Raw genomic sequence first — 25906 nt, 5'->3', positions numbered from 1 at the left:
AGTGAGTAATTGTACTACCCTGCCTGGGAAATCGTGTATTTTTCATGGATCTGTGCAACCCAGGGATCAGGGTATCCCCTCATGAGCCCATGCCACCAGAGTCTTGGGTCCCAAGCACGGAGCTGTGCAGACTCTTGGTGGCTGCTTGGGTTGCAGCCAGCTAGCAGCAGGCTGGAGACTGCCTAAGATGATTGAGTTCCCGAGGGAGGGGCAGCTTGCCATCACTGCAGCTCCAGTCAGCGGTTTTCCCCGATGGTGCCAGGGAGACTGGGTTCGGGCTAGGAGGAATTCCTCACAGCCCAGCACAGCACAGCACAGCGGCTGTAGTAGATCATGGCCAGACTGCTTTCCCTGCGGAGCTACCCTGTGGGAATTTCAGCAACTCCAGCCAGGGGCTTACAGACAGAACTCTGATCTCCCTGGGGAGCCCCTGGTGGGAGGGGCAGCTGTGGTCTCTGCCCATCAGCAGACTTAGTATTTCCTGCCTGCTGGCTCTGAGGAGTCTGGGCAGTCCAGACGAGGAGGATTCCCCCCAGCACAGTGCACCCACTCCACCAAGGGGCAGCCAGACTGTTGCTTTAAGCAGGTTCCTGATTCCGTGCCTCCTGACTGGGTGACACCTTCCAACAGGAGTCACCAGACACTGTATACAGAAATGTTTCAGCTGGCATCAGGTCAGTGTGCCTCTGGGACGGAGCTCCCAGAGGAAGGAGCAGCCCATCTTTGCTGTTCTGCAGTCTCCAGTGGTGATGCCTACAGGTGCCGGGTTGGGGGGTGACCCAGGCGAATAGGGTCTCAGGTGGACCCCAAGCAAACCACAGCAGCCACTATGGAAGAAGGGCCTGACTGTTAAAAGAAAAACAAATAGCATCAACGACAACATCAACAAAAAACCTCATCCAAAGATCAACAGCCTCAAAGATTGAAGGTAGATAAACCCACAAAGATGAGAAAAAATAAGCGCAAAAACGCTGAAAACTAGTCAGAGTGCCTCTTTTCCAAGTGATTGTAGCACCTCTGCAGCAAGGACACAGAACTGGGCTGAGGCTGAGATGGATGAACTGACAGAAATAGGCTTCAGAAGATGGGTAACAGTGAACTTCGCTGAGCCAAAGGAGTATGTTCTAACCCAATGCAAAGAAGCTAAGAACTATGATAAAATATTACAGGAGTTGTTAACCAAAATAGCCAGTTTAGAGAGGGACATAAATGATCTGATGGAGCTGAAAAATGCAGGGCGAGAACTTTGGGAAGCATACACAAATATCAGTAGCCATATCCACCAAGTGGAAGAAAGGATATCAGACTTTGAAGACTATCTTGCTGAAAGAAGGCATGCAGACAAGATTAGAGAAAAGAGAATGGTAAGGAACGAACAAAACCTCTGAGAACTATGGGGTTATGTAAAAAGACCAAATCTACAACTGACTGGGGTACCTGAAAGAGATGGAGAGAATGGTACCTAGTTGGAAAACATACTTCAGGATATCATCCAGGAGAACTTCCCCAACCTAGCAAGACATGCCAACATTCAAATTCAGGAAATAGAAGATATTTCCTGAGAAGATCAACCCCAAGACATAATCATCAGATTCTCCAAGGTCAAAATGAAGGAAAAAGTGTTAAGGGCAGCCAGAGAGAAAGGCCAGGTCACCTACAAAGGGAAACCCATCAGACTAAGAGAGGATTTCTCAGTGGAAATCCTACAAGCCGGAAGAGATTGGAGGCCAATATTCAACATTCTTAAAAAAAAAAAAAATAATTTCCAACCCACAATTTCACATCTGGCCAAACTGAGCTTCATAAGCAAAGGAGAAATTAAATCCTTTTCAGACAAGCAAATACTGAGGGAATTCATCACCATTAGGCTTGCCTTGCAAGATCTCCTGAAGGAAGCACTAAATATGGAAAGGAAAAACCATTACCAGCCACTACAAAAACACACTGAAGCACACAGACCAATGACACTATGAAACAACTACATCAAGTCTGCAAAATAACCAGCAAGCATCATGATGACAGGATCAAATCCACACATAACAATATTAATCTTAAATGTAAATGGGCTAAATGCCCAATTAAAAGACAGAAAATGGCAAGCTGAATAAAGAGTCAAGACCCATCAGTGCTTCTGAATGATTCTTGAGTAAATAATGCAATTCAGAAATCAAGAAGTTCTTTGAAACTAATGAGAAAAGAGACAATGTACCAGAATCTCTGGGACGCAGCTGAAGCAGTGTTAAGATGGAAATTTATGTCCGAGTATGGTGGCTCACGCCTGTAATCCCAGTACTTTGGGAGGCCAAAGTTGACAGATCACTTGAGGTCAGGAGATCAAGACCAGCCTGGCCAAAATGGTAAAACCCTGTCTCTACTAAAAAAGACAAAAATTAACCAGACCTGGTGGCACATTCCTGTAGTCCCAGCTACTCGCTAGGCTGAGGCAGGAGATTCACTTGAATCCCGGACATGGAGGTTGTGGTGAGCCAAGGTTGTGCCACTCCACTCCAGCCTGGGTGACAGAGGAGACTCTGTCTCAAAAAAAAAAAAGTTGCAAATGTATAGCACTAATACCCTTAACAAAAAGCTAGGAAGATCTTAAGTCAACATCCTAACATCACACCTAAAAGAACTAGAGAACCAATAGCAGACAAACCCCAAAGCTACCAGAATGAATGCAAGAAATAACCAAGATCAGAGTGGGACTGAAGGAGATAGAGACACAGAAAACCCTTCAAAAAAAATCAGTGAATCCAGGAGCTGGTTTTTTGAAAAAATTAATAAAATAGATAGACTGCTAGCTAGACTAATAGAGAAGAAAACAGAGACAATAAAAAATGATAAAGGGGATATGACCACTGACCCCACAGAAATACAGACAACCATCAGAGAATACTGTGAACAACTCTATGCAAATAAACCAGAAAATTTAGAAGAAATGGATAAATTCCTGTACACATACACCCTCCCATGACTGAACCAGAAAGAAGTGGAATCCCTTAATAAACCCATAATAAGTTCAGAAAATGAGGCAGTAGTAAACAGTCTGCCAATCAAAAAAAGCCCAGGACCAGGTGGATTTCCAGCCAAATTCTATCAGAGGTGCAGAAAGAAGCTGGTACCATTTCTTCTGAAACTATTCCAGTTGAAAAGGAGGGACTCCTCCCTAACTCATTTTATGAAGCTTACATCATCCTGATACCGAAACCTGGCAGAGATACAACAAAAACAGAAAACTTAAGGCAACATCCCTGATGAACATCAATGCAGAAATCTTCAGTAAAATACTGGCAAACCACCGGCACTTCAAAAAGTTTATCCACCATTATCAAGTCGACCTCATCCCCGGGATGCAAGGCTGGTTCAGCATATGCAAGTCAATAAATGTAATCCATCACATAAACAGAACTAAAGACAAAACCACATGATTATCTCAATAGAGGCAGAAAAGGCCTTCAATAAAATTGAACATCCCTTCATGTTAAAAACTCTCAACTAGACATTGAAGGAACATACTTCAAAATAATAAGAGCCATTTATGACACACCCACTGCCAATATCATACTGAATGGGCAAAAGCTGGAAACATTCCCTTTGAAAACCGGCACAAGATAAGAACACCCTCTCTCACCACTCCTATTTAACATAGTATTGAAAGTTCTGGCCAGAGCACTCAGGCAACAGAAAGAAATAATGGGTATTCAAATAAGAAGAGAGGAAGTCAGACTATCTTTGTATGCAGATATACATGATCCTATATCTAGAAAACCCCATCATCTCAGCCCAAAAGCTTTTTAAGCTGATAACTGACTTCAGCAAAGTCTCGGGATACAAAACCAGTGTGCAAAAATTACAAGCATTTTTATATACTAATAGCTGACAAGCAGAGAGCCAAATCATGAATGAACTCCCATTCACAATTGCTAACAAGATAATAAAATATCTAGGAATAAAGCTAACAAGGGAAGTGAAGGACCTCTTCAAGGAGAACTACAAGCCACTGCTCAAGGAAATCAGAGAGGACACAAATAAATGGAAAAACATTTTATGCTCATGGATAGGAAGAAACAATATTGTGAAAATGGCCATACTGCTGAAAGTAATTTATAGATCTAATGTTATTACCATTAAATTACCATTGACATTCTTCACAATATTAGAAAAAACTTTTAAAATTCATTTGGAACCAAAAAGCCCAAATATCCAAGACAATCCTAAGCAAAAAGAACAATGCTAGAGGCATCATGCTACCCGACTTCAAACTATACTACAAAGCTACAGTAACCAACACAGCATGGTACTGGTACAAAACCAGATACATAGACCAATGGAACAGAATAGAGAACTCAGATATAAGACTGCACAACTACAAACATTATTGTTGAAAAAAACAAGGGGAAAGGATTCCCTATTTAATAAATGGTGCTGGGAGAACTGGCTAGGCATTTGCAGAAAATTGAAACTAGACCCCTTCCTTACACCTTATACAAAAATTAACTCAAGATGGATTAAAGACTTAAACTATGAAACTGTGAAAACTCTGGAAGAAAATCTAGCTAATAGCATTCAGAACATAGGCATGGGCAAAGATTTTATGATGAAATCCCCAAAAGCAATTGCAACAAAAGCAAAAATTGACAAATGGGATCTAATTAAAATAAAGAGCTTCTGCACAGCAGAAGAAACTATCATCAGCGCAGCCTACAGTATGGGAGAAAATTTTTGCAATATCTCCATCTGACAAAGGTCTAAAATCTAGAGTCTATAAGGAACTTATACAAATTTACAAGAAAAAAACAACCCCACTAAACAGTGGGGAAAGGACATGAACAGACCCTTCTCAATAGAAGACATACATGTGGCCAAAAAGATATACTAAAAAAACTCAACATCATTGATCATTAGAGAAATGCAGATCAAAACCACAGTGAGATACCATCTCATGCCAGTAAGAATGGTGATTATTAAGAAGCCAAGAAACAACAGATGCTGATGAGGCTGTGGAGAAGTAGGAATGGTTTTCCACTGTTGGTGGGAATGTAAATTCCACCATTGTGGAAGACAGTGTCCTCAAAGACCTAAAGGCAGAAATACCATTTGATTCAGCTATCCCGTTACTGTATATGTACCTGAAGGAATATAAATCAATCTATTACAACGATACATGCACACATATGTTCATTGCAGCACTATTCACAATAGCAAAGAAGTGGAATCTACCCAGATGCCCATTAGTGATAGACTTGATAAAGAAAATGTGGTACATATTCACCATGGAATACTGTGTAGCCATAAAAAGGGAACACCATCATGTCCTTTGCAGTATCATAGATGGAACATACTTGAACCCTGGACATGGCGGTTGTGGTGAGCCATTATCCTCAGCAAATTAATGCAGGAACAGAAAACCAAACAGTAGATGTTCTTATCAGTGGGAGTTGAACAATGAGAACACATGGACACAGGGAGGGGAATGACAAACACTTGTGGAGGCTTGGGGGTAGTGACAGCAAAACAAAAATACAAGAAAATTGAAGAATATACAGATTTCAAGGAAAGAGGTTCATAGGAGTGTATTTAGTTTTTCAACCCTTCTAAGTGTTTATGGAACAATCCCTCACTGCATTGCATTGTTTATTTTAAATTCTGAGGTCAGGCTACCAGATTATTCATAGATGAGATGAGTCAAGGATAGAGTGATTTACTGAGGAACAATCTACTTAGCAGTAGTAGAAAATTAGGTATTTTAAAAATAGCATTGTGACTTTTACATAGGCAAACTACTACTTGCTTAGTTGCTACATATACTACAGCAAACATTCTTGTTTGACCCTTATTTGATACTCATTGCACTCAGTCTCTAAATTTTATGGTTAATTTTAAAATGATTCATTTGTTGATTGCTTAACCCAGTAGTCCCCAGCGTTTTTGGCACCAGGGACTGGCTTTATGGAAGACAATTTTTCCATGGACCGGAGTCCGGTGGGGGATGGTTTGGGAATGAAACTGTTCCACATCAGATCATCAGGCATTAGATTTTCATACAGAGCATGCATCCTAGATCCCTCATATGTGCAGTTCACGATAGAGTTTGTGCTTCTATGAGAATCTAATGCCACATCAGATCTGACGGAAGGCAGAGCTCAGGTGGTAATGCATGCTCGCCCACCACTCACTTCCTATTGTGTGGCCTGGTTCCTAACAGGCCACAGACCAGATATACATATGGCAGGATAAGCATAGGTAAAAATACTCAACATCATATGTTATCAGGGAATTGCAAATTAAAATAACACCAAGATACCACTATATACATATTTGCAGGATTAAGATCCTAAACAATGACAACATAAAATGCAGATAAGAATGTGGAGCAACAGAAACTCTTATTTATTGCTGGTGGGAATGCAAAATATTACAGCCACTTTGGAAGACCTTTTAACAGTTTCTTACAAAATTGTACATACTCTTACCATATGACCCAGCAGTTTTGCTCCTTGGTATTTACCCAAGTGTGTTGAAAACTTACGTCTATACAGAGTTCTGCACACAAATGTTTATAACAGCTTTATTTATAATTGCCAAAACTTGGAAGCAGCCAAGATATCCTTCAACAGATAATGGATTAACAAACTCTGGTACATGTATGCAATGGAATTATTCAGTGATAAAAAGAATAAGTTATCAAAGCACAAAAAGACATGGAGGAACCTTAAAAGCACATACTGCTAAGTAAAAGACACTAATCTGAAAAGACTACATACATTATTCCAACTATATGACATTGTGGAAAAGGAAAAACTAAGGAGACGGTAAAAACATCGATGGTTGCCAAGGGGCCCAGGAAACAGGAAAGAATGAATAGGTGGAGCACAGAAGATCTTTAGGGCAGTGAAACTATTCTGTATGGTACTGTAATGTGGGCACATGTCATTATAAGTTGTCAAAGCATATAAAATGTATAGCACAAAGAGTGAAGCTTAATGTAAAACTATGGAGTTTAATAATAATTTGTTACCATTGGCACATTCATGTAACAGATGCACTATACTAATGGAAGATGTTAATAGTGGAAACTGTGTTTGTGTGGTAGAGTAGGTATGAACTCTCTTTACTGTACTTTTGTTCAGTTTTTCTGTAAGCTCAAAATTGCTTTTAAAAATAATAAAATCTATTAATTAAAAAGAATCCAAGATCCCAGGATTCTTCTTCCATTGACTTTTACTTTTTCAGATGGTACCATAACTTTTCCCTTTATTCCTCATGCTAGTTTAATACAAACACATGCTTAGTTTATTTGAAATATGTTGAATACTCAAAACTAGTGATTCTTGAAATTACAAATTATTAGAAATAGATGTGTTAGGTTCTCTGCTTACATCTCTTAATTAATGTAGCTCAAACCTTTTTGGTTTATAGTTCTCAGTCTCACTCCTAGAATTGGCCAAATCCTTCTATGATTTAATCTTTTGCATAAGTGGTCTTTGTAACCCATGACCTTCTAACATCTAATTTTTCATTTAACAGTTCTTGTAAGAATTCTCTTGTTAATTAGTGAGCAAAGTGCTTTTCAAAAAATGACCAATCCTTAATTTTGGATTGGAAATATTGTTTATGTTAACTCATATTTTTACATAAACTGTTAGTGTTATTTTTCTGTATTTTGATAGCTTGGTTACTTACAATGGACAGGATAGAGAAATCTTAGTATACCTGTCAAATGTCAATCTGAGGTCAGTTTTTATAGTAGATTATTCTCTAGAATAGCGGTCAACAAACTTTTTCTTATATGGCCAAATAGTAAAATTTTAGTTCATACCACTTTAGCATGAAAGGAACCTGAGACAATAAATAAACAGATTGGTGTAGATGTGTTCCAAGAAAACATTATTTACTTAAACAAGAGGCTATAGCCAGTTTGTCCAATTGGCTTTAGTTTGTTGACCACCGTTGTAGAATTAACTATCACTATGTTACTGAAATAATATCTGTAGTGGGAATGTGACAGAGTACTAGGATATGCCGTTTTCTAATATTTTCTTTAAATAGACTATCCTAAAAAACCACCACTAGAGAAGCCACCCATGAGTTGGGCAAAACAAAGGCAAGCACTTGCTCTCATCCTTTAGGGAGCTGCCAGAAAGATTGAAACATTCAACCCACAGTTCTTTCATTATAAAGTTTGCATAGCTCCCTCTGGCACTAGGAATATAAGCTGCCACTTTACTGCTGCAGTAGATCTAGAGGGTGAAGATGCTAGGTGGGCTACTTAAAATGCCACAGTGTGCTGTTAGTGTTATCTCAGTGCAGCCCGTCTTTATTAATCTTTCCTCTGTTTAAGTTTTGACTAGATTTCAGAGATCTGCAAAAGTTGATTCTTAAAGTTTTTGCCAGCTTATTTGTTGTTTTTGTGGATGGGCAGAACCTGGGAGTTCCCTGCTCTGACATTATTGGTGTCACTACTACTCATGTACTGTGAAGAGACTTTTAAAAGATGGATTAAAGACTGAAACGTTAGACCTAAAACCATCAAAACCCTAGAAGAAAACCTAGGCATTACCATTCAGGACATAGGCATGGGCAAGGACTTCAAGTCTAAAACACCAAAAGCAATGGCAACAAAAGCCAAAATTGACAAATGGGATCTAATTAAACTAAAGAGCTTCTGCACAGCAAATGAAACTACCATCAGAGTGAACAGGCAACCTACAAAATGGGAGAAAATTTTCGCAACCTACTCATCTGACAAAGGGCTAATATCCAGAATCTACAATGAACTCAAACAAATTTACAAGAAAAAAACAACCCCATCAAAAAGTGGGCAAAGGATATGAACCGACACTTCTCAAAAGAAGACATTTATGCAGCCAAAAGACACATGAAAAAATGCTCATCATCACTGGCCATCAGAGAAATGCAAATCAAAACCACAATGAGATACCATCTCACACCAGTTAGAATGGCGACCATTAAAAAGTCAGGAAACAACAGGTGCTGGAGAGGATGTGGAGAAATAGGAACACTTTTACACTGTTGGTGGGACGGTAAACTAGTTCAACCCTTGTGGAAGTCAGTGTGGCGATTCCTCAGGGATCTAGAACTAGAAATACCATTTGACCCAACCATCCCATTACTGGGTATATACCCAAAGGACTATAAATCATGCTGCTATAAAGACACATGCACACGTATGTTTATTGCGGCACTATTCACAATAGCAAAGACTTGGAACCAACCCAAATGTCCAACAATGATAGACTGGATTAAGAAAATGTGGCACATATACATCATGGAATACTATGCAGCCATAAAAAATGATGAGTTCATATCCTTTGTAGGGACAGGGATGAAATTGGAAATAATCATTCTCAGCAAACTATTGCAAGGACAAAAAACCAAACACCGCATGTTCTCACTCATAGATGGGAATTGAACAATGAGAACACATGGACACAGGAAGGGGAACATCACACTCTGGGGACTGTTGTGGGGTGGGGGGAGGGGGGATGGGGGAGGGATAGCATTAGGAGATACACCTAATGCTAAATGACGAGTTAATGGGTGCAGCACAACAGCATGGCACATGTATACATATGTAACTAACCTGCACATTGTGCACATGTACCCTAAAACTTAAAGTATAATAATAATAATAATAAAGAATATTGGCTTGTAAATGTAAAAAAAATAAAATAAAATAAAATTTTACTAAAAAAATTCTATCTTTAAAAGTAATTGAATATAGAGAGCATAGAAAGTAATAATGTTTTCAGGCATATAAACAGAGGAATCACAAACTTCACAATTACTTTAAAAAAATAAACCCATTCCTTATTTCGGTACCAGAAACATTTAGGTAAATCCTAAATAGTCATTTTTCTCTTTTTTCATTATTAGACAGTTGTATGCATAATAGTATCATAGTTCAAAATTGCTCAGTGCTGATTTTATATTCTCTAATATAATTTTCATCTTATGTTTATCATATCTCTGTTAAATAATAGTGTTGTCCAGTGTTACCTTGCAAAAGTAAGTCATTGAATATATTATTCTCTTTAATTTTATTAAGACAGTTCAAGTAGAGTGAATGTGGGTTCCTCATTTTCCACTCTCGCCTCTCATCAGTTAAGTACAGAGATTCTGTCATGTACCCTGTAAATTCATCTTAAGGAAAGGAAGTCTATGGTAGCATATATACTTGGTTTTAAGGTCGGGCCTAGTGGCTCATGCCTGTAATCCTACTATTTTGGGAAGCTGAGGCAGGAGGATCACTTGAGCCCAGAGTGGAAGACCACCCTGGGCAATACAGGGAAGACCCTATCTCTATGAAAAATTTAAAAAATTAGCCAAGCATAATGGCATACACCTTTGGTCTCACCTACTTGGGAGGCTCACTTGAGCCTGAGTGGGAGGAATACACACACACACACACACCCTGGTGTTACCTTATTATCTTTAAAAGTCACCTCAGGATGCTTTGAGTAATTATGATTGTTACCCAAACACACACACACACACACACACACACACACACACCCTGGTGTTACCTTATTATCTTTAAAAGTCACCTCAGGATGCTTTGAGTAATTATGATTGTTACCCAAACCTGGGGCGGGAGACCTTTTATCAATTTTTGAGTTTCTGATTAATTTGTTTCTGAAGTTTTAGTTCTATGCACACCATAGTAAACTGTTTTGTTATCTCTTAATAGGCCTTTTGATTAAGTTTGTTTTAATTATGACATCAGGAGTGTGACAGGTTTCATATCGAAAATAGTACTCTATTGCACATCATTTTATGTTGAAATAGTATTGAACTTCAGTTTCTGTTCCTGTCTTTAAGGATAAACTGAATGATTCACAAATTAACATTAGGAGTGAAAAGGAGATCCTTGGGTCTGGTTCTTTTGATACTTAATATCCAGTGAGTGGTGGTATAGGTAGTATCTTTACCTAATGAGGCCACTTTCTCCAGTTGTCTAATGGTTTTGAGAGAATTCTTTGAAGATAAAATTTTGATTGTTTTCCTAAAGTTATCATGTCCAGGCTGCTGTATTTAATAGCCAATTTTAAGAACTAAATAAGGTATGGGCCAAACTGTTCAATAGACAGTATTTATTTTTTACTCTTTCAAAGGTTAAATTATTTTTTACAGCTGTCAGGCATACTACTTTAATAGTCCTTTATGTACATTTAATTAATTGTGTGTTAAAATTAACATCACAAGTAACTTATTAACAAATCTTTTGTCTTGTTAAATTTCACCCAAAAATGCAGTAAATATCTAACACATTTCTATACCTTCTTCTTTTAATGATTTGATTCTGATTAATTTGATAAATGTGAACACTTTTAATAATATACAGTTCAATTGTGAGTTTTGTAATTATTGCATACATATCAATAAGATTTATTTATGTGGTACATTAAAAAACTTAGTGTAATAGTATAGTCTACTTAAACATGGACCAAAGCTGAGTAGAAATTTTGGTTATGGATTGACCACTTAAATGCAAAGTTTTGAGTTTTCTTCTCAAGCCCACCCCTAAAAAGTAATTGATTTGAGCCATTTGCTATTGCCAAGGCAAATATAAATAGGTTTCATTTAGACCTTCTGTAGAAATTTATGGAAGCAATTAGGAATAGAAATTTAGTCTACTAGGAACTTTTTTAGGGGAGGAAGTATGGGGTGGGGTGGGGGGTGGTTTAAGAATGGTTTTTAATGGCATTCCATAGAATTCATTTATAACAACTTGCAGTTCTTATATGGTTTATCTAATTTTAGAGATGGCTGTTATATTAAAGTTCTCTGTAAAGCCTGAGGGGTGCTGTTCTTACATCTAGGCAATAGTCGAAGTTCGGGTGTGAGAGCAAGCGATGGAAACACTAAGAAGTATTTACATGCATGGTAATTTTTTGCCATTTAAACACACATATACACACATTCACATAGATTAGGTGTATATTTATGCACAATCTGGCCTTTTAACAAAGAAAAATAAGCCTGTGCTTAGGCTGCCACTGATACAAACAAAACATCTGAGACTTTAATGAACACCATACTGAGGGCATGTAGGACATAAGGCGAATTAAGCAGGTTACAAACTGCACGTCTTCTGTTTAGATATAGGAGATCTCCCCAATCCTGACAATTAGTTGTACTGACAAGGCAAGCAGACAGACAGAAACAGAAGGAGATCATTTGTATCAATTTGAGAAACAGAACTAGTAATGAAAAAATAGCCATATAAAATAGTTCGTCTTTTGCTTTAAAATTATTCTTTCTCTATATTTGCTCCAAAAATAAATACACACTGGTAAACAAAGCCTTCTTTTATTTTGTTTGCAAATAAAGACCAACTTAGTTTTTATTTTTATTTTTTAAGAAAATATTTTCTGGACACTCAAACGAATTTTAATCTTGGTAACCTGACAGCTTTGTTTAAACATTGAATATGAATTTCCTTTCATGAAAATCTTTTCAAAGTATAGCAGTTCAGCTGTGAAAACCTGAATACATTAATGATGACAAAGAAGCTCCAGAATGAGCCAACATTTGTTTTGTTCTCTTTCAACATTTCTTGATAAATTGCATACACAAAAGTATTGCAGGGTTATTTTAATTTCTCCCTATTTCTTTGCTAATAAGTGTCTCTGTGTTTACCTTTCTATATCCAGTACCTTATTATTAATCACTTAATATTATTTATTTTTAAATGACTTTAAGAAGTTTTTTGTCTTTTAAACTATGCCTTAAGGTACACGTTATAGGGAACATTTGAACAGAGCTTTTGGTATATGTTATCAGATATCAAAATACATGACTCTTGTTTAAGTTTTGGATCATTGTTTTCCATAGTAAACACCTTTCAATGCTCAGACAATTGTGTTCTGAAGGCGTTTATTTAAGGATCATTTTCTTTGTATCTTAATTTATTTAAATAAATGAGTCGGCCAGGCGCGGTGGCCCATGCCTGTAATCCCAGCACTTTGGGAAGCCAAGGCTGGTGGATCATCTGAGGTCAGGAGTTCGAGACCACCCTGGCGAACATAGTAAAACCCCGTCTCTACTAAAAATATAAAAATTAGCCAGGCGTGGTGGCACATGCCTGTAATCCCAGCTACTTGGGAGGCTGAGGCAGGAGAATCGCTTGAACCTGGGAGGTGGAGGTTGCAGTGAGCCAAGATCGTGCCATTCCACTCCACTCCATCCTGGGCGACAAGAGCGAGACTCCGTCTCAAAAAAAAATAAAGTCATTTGCCAGAAACGCAACATTGAAGTATTTTAATACAATACATTTTTAAGGCTTATAGCATATTTATTCTACATAGTTATTCTTACGAAGAGTGGCATTGTTAATTTTTCTGAAATAAGTGTTTCCTATCTTGTTTTAAAAAGGTGAGAGGCATAATTTGGGACATACTCTGTGAAGATAAGCTATACAGGTCTCGCTCTGTGGCCCAGGCTGGAGTGCAGTGGCAGATCATGGCTCACTGCAACCTCTACTTCACAGGCTTAAGTTGTCATGGGCTACTTGGGGTGTTGCTTTGCCAGCTGGAAACCTCTGTGGCAGGCGGTGCCTTTTACCTGAGTACTGCTTGTGCCTGCTGGACTTGTTCCATCCACTTGGCTTGGCAGGCTGTGCTTGGCTCGTGCTACTCACCCAAATCCCATGCCTTCCAAGGGTGAGCCAGGCACAGAGTGGAGCAAGTATGGGTTCTGGCCACTGCACGCAGCCAGGCACGTCAGCTGCTTCGGTGGGGCGGGCAGCCCTAGGTGCCGGTACAGATGCTGGCTCTGTGCAAAGCTGCGGCTTGATCAGATGTACTGCACGTGACTTCCATTGTGGGCACCCACATCTGGACGAGGGGAACATGATGGCACCCGGAAGCTTGGAGAAAGCAGGAACCACAGAACCCCAAAGAGGTTGTCACAACCCTGGTTCAGGGAGCCCCTGACTCTAGGGTCCCTGAAGGGCCCTAGCTCTTCTCTCCTTTTGATTGCCCACAATGTGGTGAGCAGTGGGGGAGCATGTTTCAAGCCATTTGTGTTATAGCTCTTTTAGTCTTGCCATTTGGCAGGTCCCAAGTTCTTGTCCTGCATCCAGGAAGAATGAGGTACACGGACAACTGGATGGTGAGCAAGGCAGAGAGGAGCTTCAGTGAGTAACGGCAGCTCTCGGGAGACCTGAGTGGGTAGCTCCTTTCCGTAGGCAGGTCATCCTGATTAGTGTCCAGCTCTCAGCAGAGAGGAGACCCTCACTGGGTAGCTCCTTTCTGAAGGCAGGTAGTCCCAATGAGTCTCCAGCTCTCAGTGGAGAGGAGAGCTGCAGTGGGTAGCTCCTTTCTGCAAGCAGGTTGTCCTAATGAATGTCCAGCGCTTAGCAGAGGTGAGACCTGGAGTGGGTAGCTCCTTTCCACAGGCAGTTTGTCACCATGAATTGAGGAGACCCAAGGTGGGTAACTCCTTCCCGTAGCTGGTAGTCCTGGCTGGGTCCAGGGTTTTTATGGGCTCAGAAGGGAGGAAGTACATGCTGGTTCGTCCAAGGGCAGGCTGGAAAAAGCACCATAAGTTGTCACTCCTGGCAGGGGCTTCACCTGGAAGTGACAGCCTGGCCCCCATGCTTCAGGCCATACCTGGCTTTAAGGCGGGGCTTCACTGGGGAGCTGCCTGTTTCTGCCCGAGAGCCTGTCTGCTTTCTGCCACCATCAGCATGTCATCCATGGCGCCCAGGTTTTTGAGCTGAGGGGTGCTTGCAGGCACATGCTGAGCCACCCTTAGCTGCTCATCACCCTCTCTCCTGCGCTCGCTGGTGCCCGAAGTCCTGAAGGGACTGAGGTGGCAGGGGGCCGGCATGACAGTGCCGCCCTATGTGTGTGCACACCCAGCTGGGTCGTAATAGTGCCCGGACTCAGCCACAGCTTTGCTTCACTCCAGAGAGCGGACACCAGGAGCAGGGAGAGGCCAGGCCACAGGATCAGGCACTTTCAAAGCTGCAGGGACAAGGGGCTTCCTGGGACCCCAAGAGCACAGGGATTCCTTGGTCTGGAGCTGTGTGGCTATAGCTGTGCCCCAGAGCGTGGGGCTCCAGCCCTGCCTACTTGATAGGAAGAGGGGCTCCCTGCCTGTCCCTCGCTCCCGCAGGTTCATAGAGCATGCAGCCCCAGCTAGCGCCTCCCCCACTGCACCCAGCATCTTCACAGTGGCCCCACCAAACAGGCCACTGCTGAAATCAGTGTGATCTTCCTGCCTCCGTCTCCTGAGTAGCTAGGACTACAGGTACATAACAGCATACCTGGCTAATTTTTTAATTTTTTTGTAGAGATGGGGTCTCACTCTGTTGCCCAGGCTGGTCTCAAATTCCTGGGCTCCATCCATGTCGGACTACTAAAGTGCTGGGATTACTGGTGTTAACTACCATGACTGACCTCTTTTCTGATTTTTAAAGTTCAAACATGTTTATTCCATTTATCAGATAGTTTTCAGTAAAAATGTATCACAGAGTTTTGCAACTTTAATATTATGTTTTGAATCATTTCTTGAACTACACCTTGATATATTGTTTGAAAGTGTTTCCTTTCTTTATTTTTTCTGAGATGGGGTGTCTCTCACCCAGGCTTGTGCACAGTGGTGCGATCACAGTTCACTGCAGTCTCAACCTTCTGGGCTCAAGTGATCTTCTTTTCTCAGTCTCTGGAGTAGCTGGGACTTCAGGTATGTGCTACCATGCCTGGCTAATTTTTAAATTTATTTTTGTAGAGACAGGGTCTCAGTACTTTGCCCAGTCTGGTCTTGAATTCCTGGGCTCAACAATCCTCTTGCCTCTGCCACCCCAAAAGCTAGGATTATGGATGTGAGCCGCCACGTCCAGCCTTTGCATGTTTTCAGATGACATATATCTAGCTCAGTGATTAAAATGAGCTGTGTAGCCATTTATTTACCAAGCATTAATATTTCATGTTATTCATAGATAGTGTATCAGTTAACTTGGTTTGTATGACGTACTGTTTCTAAACTTGTTACACAATATAGTAAGCATTTATTATGGGTAATGGTAAAGTGAGCAAGTTGAGTAATTCTCTTACTCTGAGCTGAGCTTGCTTACGTGTCTAAGCAATGGATGATCTAAGATTGTGTCACTTGTGTCTGGAGATTCAGTAAGCTACATGTCTCATCCTCCAGCAGGGTAGCCATCACTTGTTTACATGGTGATGTCAGCTTTCCAAGTAAACAAACTGCCAGGTTTCAGGATTTCATGAGATCTAGACTTGGTACTGTGACCTTGTCAGATCTGCCACATTTTCTTGGCCAAGACAAGTAACAAAGCCAGCTAGAGGTAGCAAAATTGTTAGAGGTAGCAAAAATTGTATTTTTGTATACTAGCAGTGAACAATCCTATAATAATTTTAAGCAAAAATTCTATTCATGATAGCATTAAAAGAACTAAATATTTAGGAATACATTTAACACCAAAAGTAGAGGAAGTACACTGACAACTATAAAACAATACTGGAAGAAATTAAGGAAAGTTATAAATAAGTAGACATTTCATGTTCATGGATTAGAAGACTCAGTATTACTATGTTGCCACTACCTTTTGATGGAAGAAGCTGGAAAGTCACACCCTGAATGTCATATGTTTAGGAAGGGAGTAATTGGGCCATTAATACCATCAATTTTTCACAGATACTAATTCAAAAATAAATGAACATTTATGATATGTAAATATTTTATGTTAATCAGCCAAAAAAAGATGGCATTACCGAAAGACACAAAATAATTAACTGAAAACCTAAGACAATTGACTGAAAAATAATGGAAGCAATGAGAGCTCAACAGTAAAGCAGCTAATGGGAAACAAGCAAAAAAACAAACGTTTTCCTAAATTTCTGGATTTTCCAGATTAAAAATGTATTGCATATGAAAAGGTATAGTGAGGTCTTTAAAATAAATTCTTTAATCAAGTTTAATTTCAATCACATTTCTAGAGAGAGTCTTTTAACCTCTAAAATATCTTTCTAAAATCCATTCAGAATTATGAACTGGTTAAAAAGACAATACAAGTATTCTCTTATGTGAACATTTTTATGACTATGAATTGGAAAACTAAGGTGTAGTGGATACATTTCTATAAAGACAAGAATTATTGAAATAGAGTTCAGTTCAGTAAAATATAACCTAGAAAGCAATGTGTATACATACTTCTAAACTTGTTAAACAATATAGTAAACATTTATTATGGGTAATGTGTATACACATTGCTTTCTAGGTTATATTTTACACATCAAAAACTATGGTTACATAAATGGATATGTAGCCATTAAGTATGTATGAAAATTTTAAAAATGAGAAAAGTTGGTTATTTGATTAAGTGATTTTTATAACGGACATACAATGACTTATACAGTTGTATCACAAGTTTTAAAATATAAAAGAAGAGATAAGTTTCTGCGTGATACTATAACCATTGATGTAATGGAATAAATAATTATAATCCCAGACAGAAAACACCAATCCCAATTTGGGGACAGATGATTTCTAGAAAACATAAAGAGAAAATTCTTTCAGAGAATTGAAAAATAGGGAATGTTTTCAAATTTATATTACGTGACTGGTATAACCTTTGTAACAATATCAGTCAAGAGCATTATGAAAAAGTACAGTCCATTCTTGCTCATGAATATGGATAAAAATAAAATATTAGTAAACAGAATCCAGCATGGGTAAAAAGATAAACATATTTTACCAAATTTTGTTTATCCTGGGAATGCAAGGTTAGTACTTAGGGAAAATCTATTTTTGTAATTTAGCTTATTAGCAAAGTGGAAAAGTCATTTCAGTAGTTGTAGGGGAAACATTAAAAAAATTCACATAAGTTTGTGATAAAATAACTGTTAACAAACTGTGGATTGAGGAGACCTTCTTTAATATGAAGAAGGACATTTATAAAAGAATTACACTAAAATCCTTCTCAATGTAAAATGTTAAAAGTTTTCTCTTTAAAATTAGAAATAAAAATCTACACATAAATTATTAGAATTTAATAATTTAGTTTACCTATATTCCTTGTTATATAACGTGTGCAAAATCAGTCGCACTTACAAATATACCAGCAATAAAGATACAGCATTTATAACAGTACAAAAATATGAGTAAACCTTCAATAAATCAGTAAACTATGTGGTAGTTTTTGTGGAGAACGTTATGAAACTTCATTGGAAGACATTTAAGAAGACCTGAATAAATATAGAGGACACACCATGATCATGGATGAGAAGACTTATTGTCACAGAGTTATTAGGTTTTCCCCAAATTGATCTATAGATTCAGTGTATTTTTCAGTCAAAATTTTTACATTGATTTGTTATTTTTAGTAACTTGGCAGGTCATTCAAGTATTTAATAGAAAAAAGGTACAATAGTCAAGACATTTCTGAAAAAAAACATGCACATTTTATATAACTAGGTAATATGATAATGGCTCATGACTTGATAAATAGACTAGTGGGAAGAACAGATAGACAGATAGACTCAAACTTACATGAAAACCAAATACATGACAGAGCTGAAATTATAGATCAGTGGTGAAAGAATGGCATCTTCATTAAGTGGTGCAGAGGACAACTGATTTTTCATTTGGGTGGAAAACAAAAATGAATTATTTTCTCACATCTTACTAACAATACCAAATTCTCCTAAATTAAAAACTTAAATGTGTAAAGCAAAACTATAAAACTTTTAGAAGAAAATATAATTTCAAATATCAAAAAGGAAAAAATATATATATAGAATTAAATTATTGCAAAATCAAAAACTATTATGAGAAGATACTGTAAACAGAGTGAAAATACAAACCACAGTCTAAGAAAAGATGATAATATACAAAACTAAAAAAAGTTTAGCATCCAAGAGGTATGAAGAATTCTTATGAATCAATATGAAAATGGCATGAAAAAGGCCTATATTTTGTAGTAAAGGAACCATGCAATAGCCATATATGTATGAAGAATTTAAATAAAATCCCTGTCAGATAACATATGATAACCTCTAGATTGGCAAAAATCAATTAATGTGAGTTTGCCACCGTGTGAAGAAACGTGAGCTCTGTTACGTTGCTGATAGGAGTTAAAGTTGGTTCAAACATTTTGGAAATAACTTGGCATTACAAGAAAATTGAATATGACCATACCCTAGGAACACAGGGAAACTATTGCATATCTGCATCAAGAATTGTGTGTAAGAACATTGTTTATGATAACAAAACTGGAAACAGTCCAAATGTGTATCAGCAGTGCAAATAATTTCTTCAGCTTCTGACTGGGAATGCCATCCTCAGGAGAGAGTTGATAGTGGGGTTAGACTGGGAAGAGGAGTAGTGGAAATGAAGATAATTAAACAGATACCGGATATATTTTTGATTTAGGGTAGAGAAAACTACTTGTTGATGATTGCAGGGCAGTGAGGTAAAAGATTTATCTAGAAAGATTCCTAGATTTTTGGCATTGGGCAACTGACTAGAGAGGTGATAACATTTACTAAAGTGTTGGAAATTGATGGAAAATTAGATGATATCATTTACTAAAGTGTTGGTAGTTGATAGAAAATTAAATTTGGAGGGGGTGAGTGGGGAGGAGAAATAAAGAGTTTTGTTTGCCTTGTATGGTGACGTCTGAGATGTCTGTTAGACTTTTTGTCTTGTGGAGATGGATATATGAGTCTGAGATTCTGGGAAGATGTAAAGTCTTAAGATATAGGTTGGGGAGAAGTTACCATGCAGATGGTGTTAGATTTGGGAATATATAAACGGGTGGGGCGGGGCAAGGTAGAACCACCGGATACTCTTAACATGTAGAGATTAGTAAATGAGAGTTTGATATCTTTAATATCCAAAAATTCAGACAAGTTAGGAATATGAACACAATTGAAAAATGACCAAAGGACATAAACTAGCAATTCTTAGGCAATATTTTGGATGCTTAATAATTAAATGCAGAGTGACCTCATTTGCCATATAAGGAATGACATTAAAGCAAGTTTGTTTCTTGTTTTTCTTTTTTTTCTTCCACATTGTTACGTTAAAAAAAGTAATGCAACTGGGCTTTGCTTGAGGTCTAGGGAATTGGAGATTTTCACATAGGTTTTGTGGCAATATAGATTGGTATTATCCTTCCGGCATTCCATTTGGCAATGTATATCATAAGTCTTAACGTGTCCTTGCCCATTGACATTCAGTTTAATTTTTCTCTTTCTGAAAGCCTGTGCTTCTCCTGTCCTTGCCTGTTTTTTACTTTCGATGTCAATGATGCATTAAAATAGATTTAAGTGTGAATTGTTGGTTGGTTGAACATAAAGTTTTTATTTATGTGAAACTGTCTAAATATATCTTCTGAAGATTGGAGTCGTTCTTTATTATTTTCATGTTTTCTCTATGTTGCTGTTCATTTCTTTTACTTTTGAATATCAGCTTTATTTTTTTCCTTTTGGATAGAGAATTGATTCCTTCTTTCAAATATTGCTAATGTTCATACCTAGTACAGAAAACTTATAATAAATCACATAATGTTCAATTTTTAATGAATTAAATAGAAAACAGGGTATGATTTTCCCATTTTGCCCAAAGGAAAACAAAGATATGATGGACATTTTAGGACAAACATAAACTCAGCTTATGATGAAGCTCGTTTATCTCAGTTAAGTTTATAACTCAGAAATCTGTTTTGATGAGTAAGTAGTTTATATTCTAGAAAAATATTTGCCAGTGTAACTGTCTATTTTGTGTTTCTAATTTTGTAAATTATATAAAAGTATCAGTTTTTACAAGGTGATTAACTGACTTTGGATGAGTGCACACTTTGTAGATTAAAAGGTAGTTTCTGTTTCAAAGTTTTGTCTGCATCTCTCTTAATTTTATGTCAGTTTACTCCTTGTTAAGTAAATTATTTTAGAGGAAAACTTCCTATGTGAAAGTTACTTACATTGTAAAAGTGAGGATTAAAAAGTCCTCATCCTCCCCCTTGTGGGATATTACTGTACTGTTTTTTCCAACATTATGGATCATAAACAGGTAAAAAGCAAAACTAAACAAGTAAAGCAAAAAAAAAAAGTAAAGTAAAAACTAATGAGGAAAGCAGAACAGGTAAAAAGAATGAAGTAAATGTAATTATAAGTAGAAATTCAGCTAAGCACATTCATTTCATGTTATTACTAAAATTTTATTTTGTTTACTTTTAAAAAACACTTCAGTAAATTAAAAAGCCACATGATCTGTTTATTCATAGACATTTTCACCTTATACTTAGTTAAATCCTCATCAAATTTGATTTACTGACTTGTGGCCAGAACCTGCGGTTAGCTTTTTGGAAGAGAGAAGATTATTAAGTAGGTTGATCCACAGAGCCACCTTCAAATTTTATTCTTTGTAGAAGTACAAGTTGAAAAACCTCTTTCTCTCAGAGCTTAGTGTTTTATACTTTACGTGTTTATATTTAGGTTTAAGTTTTAGAAATACAGTTAAAATACATAAAGGATGAATGTTGCAACATTTGGGGAATCTTTAGTATTGCAAGTTCATTGTATATGAATTCATGTTTACATTAATGTGCTAAGTTATTTTAATCTCCTATCAAAGTCACATATTTTAAAATGGTATGTTAGGGACATGAAATTGCTCAAGATAATTATTCTTTTATTAAATCTGTGATTATTCGGATATGCTTTCAAGGTATCGACACTTAAAAAACTTATAATAGACACAGAGTCTCGCTATGTTGCCCAGGCTGGTCTCAAACTCCTGGGCTCAAGTCCTGTGATCCTTCTGTCTCGGCCTCCTAAAATGCTGAGATTACAGGTATTAGCCACTGCACTTGACCGAGATATTTACACTTCATGAAAACCAATGTGTTAGTTGATTTATATTCTGTACATTTTAGTTGAAATAATTTTTTTGGATAAAATTTGTAGCTCATGATAGAGGAGATCAGTACTTTGTGATATATTTTCTCTTCATTGTATTTCAAGGATTGCATGGTTCAACTAAGATGACTGAGTGTGTGAATTATGGTACTGTGATTACTCAGCCACAGATATTCTGATGGCATTAATGTTAATATTTAGAATGTAATAGGTCTATCAGATATTCAGTACTAGCTGTCTTAAGTATCCTGGTTTCGTTGTTAATGTAGAAATATATGTTTTTAAACTTATGTGCTCCCAGATGTTTATTGTAATATTTAATATTCATTGATTTCTTCTTTCAGTAGCTGTTTATTGAGTGCCTACTCTCTGCCAAGATATATTATAGATGCTGAGAATTACGGGTATAAACAAAACTATAGCCTTTGCTTTGAAGGTTACAATTCTAGTGAAAGACTGACAGTAAGCAAGATTAATATGTAAAATATATCTGGTTCTATAGGGATAAGTGCTATGGAGAAATATAAAGCCTGGGAGAAGGGTAGGAAATGAATTAAGGAGGGTGTTACCATTTTAGTTAGGACAGAAAGAAAGGCCTCATTGAGAAGATATGAAGTAGAAAAGCCCTCATTTGTGTAGTAAAAAATCTCCCTTTGGGCTGGGCGCAGTGACTCGCGCACTTTGGGAGGCTGAGGTGGGCGGATCATGAGGTCAAGAGATCGAGACCATCCTGGCCAACAAGGTTGAAACCCCATCTCTACAAAAAATACAAAAATTAGCTGGGTGTGGTGGCGCGTGCCTGTAGTCCCAGCTACTCGGGAGGCTGAGGCAGGAGAATCACTTGAACTCAGGAGGTGGAGGTTGTAGTGAGCTGAGATCACATCACTGCACTCCAGCCTGGCAACAGAGTGAGACTCCATCTCAAAAAAAAAAAAGAAAAAAAAAACTCCTTTCATAAAACCTTAATGTTTTCAAATAATATACTAGATTAGTGTTGAATTTTACTATTCTTCTAAATTACTTAACAATGAGATGAACATTGAAAAACTTATAATCTCCTGAAACTGTTATAGTTTACTTAGTGTGTCCTGTTAGTATAGTTTGCTATTTTAGTATGTTAAAGGGTAGATTTCGTCATGTGGTAACTCTGCTCATGTTCTGACCGCCTCCCACAGCAAATGTGTAATTCAGTGCATTTTATCTCTGTCGTAGAAAGGAAATCAATTAAATTCTATTAATACGTGTAGTTTCTTTCTTGTTTTTAATTTTTGGAAATCATTTTCCTCAGGTTGAAAAACACATGTAGTTTCTAATGCAATAAAATACATTTTAAATTACATGGTATTGTGTGTACATGTACTGGATATCAACTTGCTTATTTTGATTTTTTTTTTTTTTTTTTTTTTTTTTGAGACGGAGTCTCGCTCTGTCGCCCAGGCTGGAGTGCAGTGGCGCAATCTCGGCTCACTGCAAGCTCCGCCTCCCGGGTTCACGCCATTCTCCTGCCTATTTTGATTTTTTAAAATGCTGTTTATGTAGTATTATTATTTGTTACCTTTTCCTTTTCCTACATCTTTTACAAATACCAGGCAAGAGGAAGGCAAAGTGGTTTCTTTCACAGGTTTTTAAAATTATACTTATGATTGTTTTCTAAAATCTGTTTTTTAGTTTATTGCTCATCCAAACATTTTAAAAATTATTTAAGCATAATAAGAATAGAATATTAATACTAATACCATTTCATTACCTTCTTAGATTTTAATCCTGCTACAAAAACACTTTCAAATGCATTTTAAGAATGACTCCTTGTAGTTTTAATTCTTTACGTATAGGTCAAAAGAAGAGAGAATGACTACTGTGATCTGTTCATCTGTATGCCCAGTTTTCCTGTCTCCTGATACTTAAATTTCTGGGCTGCAATTCCATCTAGCTATCACTTAGGTGGTGTGATCACCTAGCAGAAAAGTGGTTTTAGGCTTCATGTTCTAATGTTCTCACTGGAGTGATAGTGCTTATTGAACTCAGTGTGGTAACCCCTTGCAATGACATCTATTTTTTAGTGATATGGTATCGTCATTCACATCCCAAATGTGCTGGGGAGGGAAAATCATAAGCCGTTTTCCTTGCAGAAGTTCATGTCACAAAAATCACTTTTTTTTTGAGATGGATTATCACTCTGTCGTCCGGGCTGGAGTACAGTGGTGCGATCTTGGCTCACTGCAACTTCTGCCTCCAGGTTCAAATGATTCTCCTGCCTCAGCCTCCCGAGTAGCTGGGACTACAGGTGCCCGCCACCACACCTGGCTGATTTTTTTGTATTTTTAATAGATACAGGGTTTCATCACGTTGGCCAGGATGGTCTCGATGTCTTGACCTCATGATTCACCCACCCCGGCCTCCCAAAGTGCTGGGATTACAGGTGTGAGCCACCGTGCCCATCCAAAAATCACTTATTTTTAATTCAGATTTCTCACAGTAGTGCAGAAGACCCTTGTGCCATTAATACATACATTTTACAATCATTTAAGTCACTCCATTATTCTAAAGCTCTTTATAACACCAATATAGATTGATTTATAGAAATATAGATATACTGCATCATTTTCCATTTCTGTTTCTCAATAACACAAATTCTTAGGGTGTTCTCTCCTGATACCACCACTAATTGTATTGTTATACTTTGCATATAGTGTTTTTATTTTTTAAAAAATTGGTAATGCTTTGATATAAGCAATGGTGCTTTATGTTTTCTAAGGGATTGGGTGAATGCAGAAATAGTTACCATTACCCAATGTACCTATTTTAGGAAGATTTCCTGCCTGAAATAATGTTTTAAGTGAGTTGAAGAAAATAGCTTTGTTAGCCAGATTTTGTAGGACAGCCTAAAAATAGTCACTGGTCTTGACTAAGGGGAAAAACTAGTAAAGGAATATGCAAGTAGCAAAAATGAACACATGTTTTTTCTTGAACTTGGAAGCAGGTCTGCAAAGTTAGACTATGGTGACAGATTATGAAGCTAAGGGCGCAGTGTAGGAGTGTAGGGAAATAAGTGACTGAGTGACACAGCTTATTTTATAGCCACATCTTAGAAGAAATGTGAAGGAGTAAGGTGGATCAAAATGAGATGATTAACTAAATTCTTTATGTAAAACATTTATTCTTTTATTTTAGTGTGTACTGCTTTTCCTGTACAGTAAGTTATATATCCTAATAAAAATTAAAGAGCAAATTGTGTTTGGAAGATCGGGTCATCGTAATTCATTGACATTAGGCCACATAACTGAATAATGTCTTCCTTCAGCAAAATACATCAAATGAGATCAACAATTATGACTCATAAACATGCCTTGCAGGCATAAAACAGCAGGGAATTAGCATGTGAGGCTGATAAATATGCATGTAAATAAGCTCCCAAAGGAATAACATGGGTTTGATTGATAGGTTTAGAATTGGAACATATGTAAACCCCTTTATTCCTCATTCTGGTGTAGCTAAGTAAAGATGCGTTTTACTTGTTAAAAAGTTTCAATAACTTTGTAAATCTTAATGCCACATCTGTTTTTTTTTTTTTCTTGTGCATGTCACTTGTAAGATTAATTGAATTGTCTACAGGCTGGACGGCCCTCATAAAGTAAATGGTGGAACATGTGAATGAGTGGCTATACATTCGTTGCTAGAAACAGAGTAAGAATCTTTGGGAAATCTCTGTTTTTACATTGTAAAATGATGTATGGTCATAAGAAATTTCTTTTGGAAATAAAGATGTGACTCGATAGATTATTCTGGCTCCCTCAGTAATACTTCATACCATCTTTTTCTACATTTTAGCTCCTAACAATGCAGTTTCTATTTATTTGCTGATTTCTTACTATTGATTTGATAGTCTATAATTAACATGTATCTTTTTAATAATTTTTTTTTCAGTTCTTGGTACTTAATTCTAGTCCTTCTAAATCAGTATTCAGGAACTATTGTGGGAGTGTATTAGAAAGTGC

The 25906-nt window shown here is 37.4% G+C and overlaps 1 protein-coding gene across 65 annotated transcripts in view, besides 1 other annotated feature; it reads left to right on the top strand.

Annotated features, from left to right (window-relative positions):
- Window positions 1-25906, top strand: part of TBC1D5 (TBC1 domain family member 5) — a 585470-nt gene that overhangs the window by 247640 nt on the left and 311924 nt on the right. Inside the window, exon 3 of one of the 65 annotated variants that reach the window (NM_001349085.2) lies at window positions 15617-15714. The exons of 63 other annotated variants lie outside the window; for them this stretch is intronic. Coding sequence is in view for 1 of the 2 variants with exons in the window: in NM_001349081.2 (NP_001336010.1) it covers window positions 15597-15714 (118 nt within the window). In the remaining variant the exon portion in view is untranslated. Of the gene's footprint in view, window positions 1-15596; window positions 15715-25906 lie in introns of all 65 variants that reach the window. One more of the 65 variants, NM_001349081.2, reaches the window with a different exon arrangement.
- Window positions 188-764: an enhancer, noted in NCBI's record as "H3K27ac-H3K4me1 hESC enhancer chr3:17535720-17536296 (GRCh37/hg19 assembly coordinates)". NCBI's record gives its function as "activates a minimal SCP1, AML or CMV promoter by ChIP-STARR-seq in naive H9 embryonic stem cells {active_cell/tissue: H9 hESC(naive)}" and the evidence as "EXISTENCE:reporter gene assay evidence [ECO:0000049][PMID:30033119]".

The sequence above is a fragment of the Homo sapiens genome, chromosome 3 (genome assembly GCF_000001405.40).
Source record: "Homo sapiens chromosome 3, GRCh38.p14 Primary Assembly".
NCBI lineage: Eukaryota > Metazoa > Chordata > Mammalia > Primates > Hominidae > Homo > Homo sapiens.
This window is presented reverse-complemented; position numbering and strand designations above follow the sequence as displayed.